General features: G+C 37.9%; 1 protein-coding gene across 4 annotated transcripts in view; it reads left to right on the top strand.

Moving 5' to 3' along the window:
- ZNF577 (zinc finger protein 577) overlaps nucleotides 1–12,125 on the top strand; it is an 83,510-nt gene that overhangs the window by 48,972 nt on the left and 22,413 nt on the right. The gene's annotated exons all lie outside the window — the stretch shown is intronic.

Genomic DNA, 12,125 nt, shown 5'->3' with positions numbered 1-12,125 from the left:
GTGGCAATTTTAATTATCTAATTAACTTTTCCTTTTCTGCTTTCATATAGTTCGTTTTCCTATATGAATTTATCTTTGAGTACATATTTGAAAACTTCTGAGGATTTTAAATAAAGATCTCCTTACAACAATTATTTATTACAAAAATTGTTACATGCTTGTAAATAAAAAACCAGGCAGTAATAGTAAAAGCATCTACAATTTACCATCTATACCAAACTTATCTTTTGTACTATGTTATTAAATTGAACTGCATAGTATGGATATTTCATTTTCTTAAATACATAAAGCAGATCAGGTTAAACGCATATTTAAACTTTTAAATTAAATTTAAAATTAAATTCTATTTAATTTAATATAAATTTATATATATTTATGTTTATACTTATATATAAATATTTATATAATTATATAATAAATATAAAAATTTAGTTTCTTTTTTTAACCCTCTTATACCAGGGAGAATGGCTATTTTAAAAAAAAATTTTTTATTATACTTTAAGTTCTAGGGTACATGTGCACAACGAATAATTTAGTTTCTAATTAAACATTTAAATGCATATTTAACCATTGGCTTTTTTTGCTTAATAAAGGTAATGTTTGATAATATGCTAATGACAGTCTTTCATTTCTGTCCCATCTTTGCATCAATCGTGTATTTGCCTAATCATTCCAATACTCCCACCCCGCTAAAAATTTCCATCTAGAATTGTGTATGTGATTTCCTTGATTTTTAGAAATATGCACTTATATGTGGATACCTAAAGAACTCAATATTTAGATTTTTAAGTTTTATAAATAGTATTATAATATTTGTATTTGTTCTCTGTTGCTATGTAGAAATGACTACAAATTTAGCAGTGTGAAACAACACTCATGTTTTAGCTCATAGCTCTGTAGGTCAGGCATCTGAATGCGTTTGGCTGAATGTTCTGCATAGGATCTCAAGGTCAAAATCAAACCAAGGTGTCATCTGGGCTGGGTTTTTATCTGAAGATGGGGGAAGAAGCTGGCTCCAAGCTCAGTCAGGTGGTTGGCATAAATCAGTTCCTTTGCACTTCTGTAATAAATGCAACTTAGTCATAGTACAATATTTTTCTATATATTTTGGGATATGGTTTGCTAATATTTTATTTAGGATTTTTGTAGCTATACTTATAAATGAAAATGGACTATAAATATTATCATGTAACCATCATCTGAAAATAGATATTTATATTGACTCCAAAGTTTTTTTGTGCCCCTTTGCAATTATTGATCCCCTTTCCCCACCTCCTGTTCCCTGACAGCCACTCACCTCATTTCTGTTACTATAGTTATTTGTAATCTAGAACGTCACACATATGGAATTATATAAGAGATAGTTTTTTGTGTCTGACTTTGTGCACTTAGCATAATGCTTTTGAGATGCATTCATGTTGTGAACAAATGTGAATTTGAAAGAGCCAGTCTTTTGGGATGGATCCTGTATGGTTACTTGGGCTTAAATTTAAAATAGAACCTACCAGCCATTTGCTGTCTAGAGGTCATACAGGTACTCTAAGTCCCCTCAAAACTCACACCTTTTAATTTTGGGGCTTGGAAACCAACCAATCAGAGCTCACCTGAAGCAACCAATCAGAGTTCACCTTCCCTGGCCAATCAGCGCTCAGCTGTATCAACCAATCAGGACTGAGCTGTGTTAACCAATAAGAACTAAGTAAGTTTCACTCTTTCTTGGCATCAACATAGGTGATAGCAACATAGGTGATAGGGAACCTGGGCAGAAACTTTTGCTTTAAAACCGGAGCCTTCCCTCTGTTCCCTGGAACACACCTTCATTTTACAACAAAGATTGTGTTTCTGTAGTTTGCAGCCTTTTGCTGGAATAAAGTCTGTTTCCTTCACATTCCTTTTCAGATAATTTTTTCTTTTCTTTTCTTTTTTTTTTTTTTTTGAGACAGAGTCTCACTCTGTCACCCAGGCTGGGGTGCAGTGGCGCCCTCTGGGCTCACTGCAACCTCTGCCTCCTGGGTTCAAGCAGTTCTCCTGCCTCTGCCTCCCAAGTAGCTGGGATTACAGGTGCGTGCCACCATGCCCGTATAATTTTTGTATTTTTAGTAGAGACTGGATTTCACCATGTTGCCTATGCTGGTCTTGAACTCCTGACCTCAGGTGATCCACCCGCCGCAGCCTCCCAAAGTGCTGGTATTACAGGCGTGAGCTACTGCACCCAGCCCTTTTCAGGAACTTTTGTTCACAATGTTGTTGCATTTATTAGCAATTCCTTTTTAACTCTAACATTCCATCATACAGATATGCTATAGTGTATCCACTCACCAGTTGACAGACATCTGAGTTACTTCCAGGTTTGACTTTTATGAATAAAATCTCAATGAATGTTCATCTGAAAATGTTCGTGTGGAAACAACAACAGAACTGGTAATTCCATTAAAACGTAAGCAAAGGACATGAATAGACGTTTTTCAGAAGAAGACATAGAAATGGCCAACAGGTACATTAAAAAAGCCAAACATCACAAATCGTCAGAGAAATGCAAATCAAAACCACAATGAGATATTATCTTACCCCCGTCAGAATATCTATTTCAAAAAGTGTAAAACATAAGTACATTTATTTGAATGGTAAGATTTTATGATGATTTCACACTGTTTTTACCACCTTAAGATTTAATGAAGTGTCTGACAATAAAGGCAAAAAAACCTTATTATACTAGTCAGATACTCCAGAAATACTACATACAGAGATTTTTGAAGAGTAGAAATTAAATTACTTGGCTTCATTTTGGTTTCACTGCAAATTTCCACATGATGAGTAATCATTAGAAACAAAGGTTTTTATTATTGTTTTCAAGAACTAGGTATTTTTTTCTTCCATTTATTGCCATGACATCAATGTGAGAAAAACTTTTTAAAACCACTAATGTGTAAAGTATGTGTCACTTTAAAATTGCATGATCCAAACATTACTTAAGATATTGATTTCAAGGTCGGGTGCGGTGGCTCACGCCTGTAATCCCAGCACTTTGGGAGGCCAAGGCAGGTGGATCACCTGAGGTCAGTAGTTCAAGACCAGCCTGACCAACATGGTGAAACCCCATCTCTACTAAAAATACAAAAATTAGCTGGGCGTGGTGGCAGGCATCTGTGATTCGAGCTACTCAGGAGGCTGAGACAGGAGAATTGCTTGAACCAGGGAGGCGGAGGTTGCAGTGAGCCGAGATCGTGCCATTGCACTCCAGCCTGGGGAACAGAGCAAGACTGTCTCAAAAAAAAAGATACTGATTTCAGTTATGTCTGGCCATGTCAGTGAAAACATAACTTTTCTGAAATATTGGTTAAAATAAAAAATTTATTAATATTAATTTTAACTTCAGTTCATAAAAATCACTTTATTCTTCAAGCACAATTTTTGTATTGAACAGATGTATTTAAAAGTAAACTAGTAAGTGTTCCTTTTTTCCCTGTCTTTTGGAAGTGTTTCTTGTAAGACTGATGTTACTTCTTTCTTAAATATTCAGTAGAATTCACAGGTGAAACAATGCAAGCCTGAAGTTTTTTTTTTTTTTAATGGGTATTGATTAGAAATTCAATTTCTTTACTAGGTATTGGACTATTTAGATTTTCTAATTCTTTTTATGACAGTTTCATATGTGTGCTTTTCAAGGAATTTGTCCATTTCATCTAAATTGTCAAATATAATGTTATAAAGTGATTTGTAATATCATTTTAGTGTGTTTAGTCTCTGTAATAATGTTCCTTTTTTCATTCCTAAGATTGGTCATTTGTATTTTCTCTTTTTTCTTGATTAGTATTGCTAGAAACTTATCCATTTTATTGATATCTTAACATAACTTTAATATTTCCTCTTCTATTGATCTCTATTTCATTTATTTCCACTTTTAAAAGTTATTTTCTTATATTTTCTTTAGATTTAATTTGATATTTTTCTAGCTTCTTGAAATGTAAACTTAGATCATTGAGTTCACACACTTATTCTCTAATAAAAACACTTAAGGTAAAAATTCCCCTGTAAGGGAGGCTCAGGTTGGATGATTGCTTGAGGCCAGGAGTTCAAGAGCAGTCTGGACAACATAGCAAGACCCCACCTCTACAAAAAAATTTAAAAATTAGCCAGATGTGGTGGTGAGTGCCTATAACCTCAGCCATTCAGGAGGCTGAGGCAGGAGGATTGCTTGAGCCCAAGAGGTTGAAGCTGCAGTGAGCCGTGATTCTGCCACTTCACTGCAGCTTGAGTGACAGAGCAAGACCCTGTCTTAAAAAAAAAAATCGTGTGCACACTGTCTTTAGCTTTAAATCACAAAATTTGAAATGTACTCCTCTTATCCTTCAGTTAAAAATATTTTCTAATCTTCATTAAGATTTATTTGGCCCATGGGTTATTTACATATATGTTGTTTAGTTTCCAAAGATTTGGGCATTTGCTAGTTATGTTGTTATTGCTGGTTTTTAATTTGATAGATTATGGTCATGGAATATACTTAGTATAATTTAAAGCCTTAGATTTTTATTAAAACTTATTTTATAACCCAGCACTTGAAAAGAATTATATTGGGTATTATGTGAAATATCCTACTCTTAGGTGTAAGAAATGGTTTATAAATGTCAGTTAGGTTACTTGATTGTGCTTTTTAATTCTCTGTATCTTGAGGCCAGGAGTTTGCCTGGGCAACATAGTGTGACCTTGTTTCCACAAAACAAATAAATAAATAAAAGGAGTGTGGCTGCACATGCCTCAGCTACTCCAGAGACTGAGGTGGAGGATCACTTGAGCCCAGGGTTTTAAGGCTGCAGTGAGCTATGATTGTGCCACTGCACTCCAGCCTGGGTGACAGAGCAAGACCCTGCCCCTACTCCAGTACTATTTTTGTAGCTACATAAGTGGCTAGAAAAAAAAAAATCTATTGTGTGTTTTTGAAAAGCTAGAGGAGAGGATTTTGAATCTTCACCACATAGAGAAATGATAAATGTTTTAGGTGATGGATGTGCTAATTACCCTGATTTGACTATTATACACATTGTATGCATGTATCAACATATCACTCTGTATCCCTTAAACATGTACAATTACGATGTGAACTAAAACTAAAAGAAAAAAATATATTGTACCCCTAACTGTTAATCTAAACCATCAGCCCTGACCACTTCCCAAAATTCCAGCCTCATAAAATCAGTCAACTTCTTGGAATTTCTGTGAACACAAGCAGTAGGCATGACAAACTAAACATTCTGAAAACAGTATCCCCAGTTCTCCTATTCCCTGACCTGCCCCTTCCTCAGTTTTCTTTCTTTTAGGAATCAGAGGCATTGTCCTCTCAGTAGATTAAGTGCCAAGTCTAAAATTTATTATTGATTTTTCTCTCATTTGGTAAGCAAAATCCAAGTGCTGCTGATTTTATGCACCCCAAGAATCACCTACAGGCTCATGCCATCTCTTGTCTGGATGCCTGAACTAGCTTTTGCAAACAGCTCTCTCTCTCCATGAACAGAAGCAAAAAATGACTTTTTAAAACACAATCAACATAACTACTTCCAGCGGTGATGGCATAAGAGAGACCAGATTTATGCTCCTACCTTAAACAACTAAAAATCTAGGGAAAATGGGAAAGAATGGTTTTCTGACACTGGACAACAGGTAGTATAGCATTGTAATCTCCAAAAAAGGGGAAACAAATAAGATGATTCCCGTGATTGCCTTGATTACTGACTTGAGAGAGTTCCCAGGCCACAGAGTAGGAGGGGAAACACAGGTAGAGCCCGGTAGACTCTTTGAAATAAGAAGATAAAGTTGGGAGTTGGGAAGAACAAGGCAGATAGAGTTGAAAGATTAGTACTGAATAAGAGAGTACTGCAGACAGAATATGATTAAGACATCAGTTCTTCTTCAAGCAAATCCATAGATTCAATGTGATTCAAGTTAAAAAAACATTAACCTAATTCTAAAAATTTATATCGAAAGGCAAAGGAACTAAAATAGCCAAATTACTTTTGAAAAGGAACAACATTGGAGTATGTCAAGACTTGCTATTAAGCTACAATTATCAAGACAGTGTGATATTGGCTAAACGGTAGACAGACCAATGGAACACAATAGAGTCCGGAAATAGATCCACACACAATATTGACTTTTGACATACGTAAAAAATTCAATGAAGAAAGAATATTATTTTCAACAAATGATACTGGCGTAATTGGACATTAAAAATATTAACAAAAAAGAAACTCAACCTAAGCCTCACATTCTTTGCAAAAGATAATTAAAGATGGATTATAGATTTAAATATTAAATGTAGAACTACTACATTTTTAGGAGAAAACATTAAAAAATGTCCAGGACCAAGAGCTAACCAAAGAATTCTTTGACATGACACCAAAAGCACAATCTGTAAAAAAGGAATAAGTTGGACTTCATAAAAATGAAAAATTTTTATGGTTGATTAGCCAGGCATGGTGGTTTGCACCTCCAGTCCCAGCTACTTGGGAGGCTGAGGCAGGAGGATCACTTGAGCCCAGGGGGCAGAGGCTGCAGTGAGCTGAGATTGCACCACTGCACTCTAGCCTGGGAAACAGAGTAAGACCTTGTCTCAAAAAAATAAAAAATAAAAATAAAAAAAGAAAATTATGGTTAAGCTTTAGACTCAATACAAATTAAAAAAAAATAGAGCAGATCATCACATTGCTCTGTATCTTTTAATGGCTACCAGGTGTCTACCTCAGGCTTAACAAACTCTGCTGTATATGGTTCAGACCTCATTTTCTGGATACCCACTCTCTTTCTCACTGAAAAATGACAGATGAATGTGGAGGCTGCTACAATAGATGAAGAAAAACAGAGGCGTCAAAGGCTCTCAGACCAGCAAAGAATGAGAGAAGGGAGGTGATTTTGTGATTGACAAAAAGCTACAACAAGTGCTATGAAAAGAACTAAAATATTTGCTGAACTAGACTGGAGAGAGCCTGAGAGGCTACGTTATCTTAGGGACTCAGAAAAAAATGTTCTGAGGAGGTTATGTTTAAACTGAGATTAGAATTACATGAACTGGTCACATGAAAGTTCAAGAGGAAGAATATTCCAAGCAGGACAACAGTTAGTACAAAGATTCTGAGACAAGAATGATTTGGTATGTTTGAGAAATAAAGATATTACTAGTGTAATTACTAACATAATCGATGAAAGAAAAACTGTTGAGGAAGACCATCAGAAGGACAGGCAAAAGCCAGATAATATGAGGCTTTGGGAGTCAGATAGTGGATTCAGATGTTTTTATTATTAGCATGATGGGAAGCTATTGGAGGGTGTTAATCAAGAGATGGGCACGATCATGTTTATATTAGAAAAAAAAAACTTTGGCTGCTGTGTAAATAACTGATTGCTGTAGAGCAAGAGTGAATGCAGAAAGATTAGGAAACTATTGTAGTGGTCCGGATGATGATGGTTTGAAGTCAGGTGGTAGTGGACAGGAAAGAAACACACAGATTTGGTCCACGTTTTTGACATAGAGTCAATGGGATATGGTGATGGATTAGATTAAAAGAATCAATAGGCCGGGTGCAGTGGCTCATGCTTGTAATCCTTGCACTTTGGGAGGCCAAGGCAGGTGGATCACTTGAGATCAGGAGTTTGAGACCAGCCTGGCCAACATGGTGAAACCCCATCTCTACTAAAAATACAAATATTAGCCAGGCGGGGTGGCATGAACCTTGTAACCCCAACTACTTAGGAGGCTGAAGCAGGATAATTGCTTGAACCTTGGAGGCAGAGGTTGCGGTGAGTGAAGATCGCACCACAGCACTCCAGCCTGGACAACAGAGTGAGACTCCATCTCATAAAAAATAAATAAATAAAATAAAGAATCAATAATTACTTATATTTGGGACTTAAGACATTTGGTAGAGTGTGATGACTTTTCCTAAATTTGGAAGAAATGTAGAAGATTTGTCAAGCAACTGTTTCAGGGGGAATCAAATTGATAGTTTTACTTTGATGATGCCCCATAGGTTTTCAAGTGGAAATGCAGAGGAGGGAGGTAGATACCAGTCTGGAGTCCTGAAGAGAAGTTGTGGATTATGATGGATGTTTAGGGGGAGTCATTTATGTACAGATGGGATTTCAAGTTATAGGAACACATTACCTAGGATGACTGCATTGATGCAAATAGATGAGGGGGGTCTAGAATTGAGCCCTCGGGTACACCAACATTTAAAAGTCAGAAAAGAGCCAGTCAAGGAGATTGAGAAAGATAAATCACTGAGGTAGGAAGAAAACCAAACAAGTGTGATGTCACCAAGAGAATTATATATTTTAAAATAAAAGGGTGTGGACAACTGAGTCATATATGCTTAGGGGCCTAAGATTCCCATCATTATCAGATAAGCATATATGACTTAGATTTACTCCATTGGATTCATAGGCAAGCACCAAATGTCTGAACCTGCAGTGCAGTAACATGGCAATGGATGTCACTGTTGTCCTTGATAAGAGTAGTCCCACTGCAGTAATCAGGACATGAACCCATTTAGAATGAGTTCTGGAGAAAATGTGAAATGAGGAAGTAGAGAAAGAAACTGGAAGTGACCCTTGAGTTTGCTGTCAAGGAGAGCAGAGAAATTTGTTGTAAAGTTCAGGAGGACGCGTGTGGTACAAAAGGTTTTTATGTTTTCAGTTAGTAGATTAGAGAACAGATGTATATGCTGATGGCAAAAACACAAAAAGAAAATGGCATGATAAAGTAGACAGAGAGACTATTTTCATTTCTTCCACTCAATTTCTACTAATTTATATTAGTTAATGCTTCATCTTTCCTCTGTTTTTTTTTTTTTTTTTAAACACTAGAAGCATATGCTATGTCAGTCAGGTTTCCACCAGATAAATAGGACTCAAAATGGATCACAGACCTAAATGTAAAAGACAAAATTATAAAACTCCTAGAAGATAACAGGAGAAAATCTAGATGACCTTGGGTTTGGCACCCTGTTGTTTTGACTTTACAAATTGTTACTAAAAACATCTGGGGGTGAGCTCCATTTGCACTGGCCTTGTGGGCAGTTGTTTCCCTTTTGAAGGTGCCCCACTTGACCTCTGAGTGGCTAGTGGGGACAAGGAGTGATAGCAGGAAGGAATGCAGCAACCAAGGAGGCACTGGCCTCAGCAGCACTTGCTCTTGAAAATTGCCAAGGGGACTTGTGCAGTTGCCATATTACAGGTTAGGCTTAGGTGACTTGATCCTTTCATCCTGGCTCTCCTTTATCAACACACTGAAGCCCAGCATTTTATCATCTTTTCTGACTTCACTATGAGGGAATTGCTGCTACCCAGGAGCCTGGTATCCTGTGGCTCTCTCATCAGTGAGATGTGTAGGAGATCGGTCAGGATGGTGGGAAAAGTTGTAAGATAAATTATAGGAAAAGGATGCAAACCTTCTTGGAAGGCCTGGGATTTGCATAGCTTCAGAAGAGGATTTGGCTGAAGGCAGCTGAATTTTCTCAGAATGGATAACAAGGAAGTGTAAAGGAATTGATCTAGATAAGTTAGTTTACTTAGGCCTCGGAACCTGGTATTTAATCATCTGTGCACAGGACTGCTGTCTTGGGGGGTGGGGGGTGACAATGTTAATTACCCACAAGACGTGTTGACTCCAGGCCTTTGTCATTAAATCTGTACTGAATAAATGCCCACAGTGCCAGCTTGTCGGGGCTGTGGCTACTGACTCTTTACAGCTCCCTCCTCGGTGTCTGTGAGCTGCCCAGTCCCCTAGCCTGCTTTTTCACTGGATATCAGTCTCAGAGTGCATTTTTCATCTGTCATTCGGCCAGGTTGGACCCTGGCAGAGATGGACATAGAGTTTCACCATACTGGCCAGCTCACTCTGGCTGGAGACCAGGACTTTGCAACTTATACCCAGTACAGGCCAGACTACTACCAAGACCCCATGTAACAAGAGCAGCATATATAGCTCAAGGGACAACGTGCCCTCAAGTAGTGGCCTGTCACCAGGGGCCTGATTAGAGAAAGAGTGACTACTGTTCATAGCGAAACATCCTCATTACAATGAAACCTGCCCTCCAGGAGCTGCAGGGGAGCCTGAAGGCTCAGAGAGCTGTCTATATTCACCAGAGTTTCTGGAGAGTCCCCAAGGCAACACCTGACAACAGCAGTACTAAGTTGCACAAAGCAACAAAAAATCTAAAACCAGCAAGCAGTAGTGCTGTCCCAGACCGACCAGGCCTGATACAGGAAGTTAGTGAGCCATCCACATGGACATACATTGGGAAGTATTTCTTTGTGGTAACTGTCCCATAACTTTAAAAAAAAAATCTCAGTTTCCTGAACCCACAATATATCATAATGCAATGGGAATTGAGACTCCACAATGAAAACTCCTAAAGAGGAAAAGAAAAATGGAGAGGATGTAGCAGGCACTGTTCTACTGCAATTAACCAAGGCCAGTGGGAAGGAATAGTAAGAATCCCCTGTCCTGGCAGTGGAGGAAGTCTCTTAATTAGCCCATCTGGAAGCCCTGGCTCTCCTATCTAGGTTTTGTCCTTGTGCCTTTTTATTTTCTTTTTCTTTTTCTTCTCCTTTTTTTTTTTTTGAGATGGAATCTTTCTCTGTCTCCCAGGCTAGAGTGCAGTGGCACATTCTCAGCTCATTGCAACCTTCACCTCCCAGGTTCAAACAATTCTCCTTCCTCAGTCTTCCAAGTAGCTGGGATTATAGGTGCACACCACCATGCCCAGATAATTTTTGTATTTTTAGTACAGACAGCGTTTCAACATGTTGGCCAGGCTGGTCTAGAACTCTTGACCTCAAATGATCCACTCACCTCGGCCTCCCAAAGTGCTGGGATTACTGGAGTCAGCCATCATGCCCAGCCTTGTTCCTTATTTTCTATGGCTACACCTTGGCTGGGCATTTAAGAATATACACCTCCTGGGAACTCTAAAGCATTTATAGGAGTCAAACGTGCAAATGAAATGCGCAAAGTGCTCTGCCTTGGAAATGCAATAACTTTAGGAGAGACAGAAGGGAAAAGGAGAAGAAAATGAGTAAAGCAGTGGGGTGAGTGAGAACACTGATAACAGGATTGCCTGATATTCATGTTGAGTGGTGTCTTTTGCCAGTGCATCAGGAAAGTATGTTCACAATACAGAATTGACAATTTCTGAGTGTTTATGTGCAGAAAGCAAGGTAAAGGGCTGAGTTATGAGTTATTTATTTAAATATGAAGTCTTTAGGCAATGGTTAACCAGAGTAGTTTACTTAAGCAGAAACTCAAAATCAGAAATGTTCATGAAAATGTAAGCCAGCTGGGAATTTACAAATACTGTGGACATGAGGATGGGAATTTACTAGACCTGACCTGATTCATATTATGAGGGCTGGAGATAATTTTGACTGGACATTAAGTGATATTATTGTTTATCAATGCCATAAACATTTATTGAGTGCCTATCACATATCAGACACTATCTTATTTGCAGGGGATTGGGATCCATCAGCAAACAATATAGACCAAAATACCTGCCCTCAGATAGCTTACATTCTCATTACTTGAAAGAAACATATCAAGTACCATACAGTTATTATACTGTCTCATGCCAATAAGTGAAACCACATTTGCAAAAATTTTGACAGTGAGAGAAATCTAACGTGGCTGACTCCTTCCTGCCTCTAGCCTCAAAGGTTATCTGTCTTTGTTCACTCCTGGTTGTAGGCTAAGATAACTGGGGAAGAATTTAGTTTATAGTTTAACATGGAAGCAAGGATGATAGTAGGCCTTCCCTAACTAACACCCTTCTTGCTCTGAGACTGAAAAGTAATGAAAGGCCCTAAGATTAGGATTATTCAAGGAGTCTGAATTCTGCTAAAATGTAGGATTATAGTTTCTATAATCCTTTATTGCCAGACGTCATGTGGCCAGAGACACCTGGGCAGTAAAGACCAAGATTTGTGACTTCCCCAATCACTTCTATAGGTAACACCTCTATTGTAGAACCTAGGATTAGTCTTTTGAGATGTTTTTCAGACTTGCATTCTAGCAACTGACTGACCTTACCAGGGCTCATGACTTATGACTCAAGTGGTCCTGTGACCCCCTCACTCCA

This window comes from Homo sapiens, chromosome 19 (genome assembly GCF_000001405.40).
Source record: "Homo sapiens chromosome 19, GRCh38.p14 Primary Assembly".
NCBI classification, from domain to species: Eukaryota; Metazoa; Chordata; class Mammalia; order Primates; family Hominidae; genus Homo; species Homo sapiens.
Note: the sequence above shows the minus strand (reverse complement) of the source record. Positions and strands in the feature narration are given on the sequence as shown.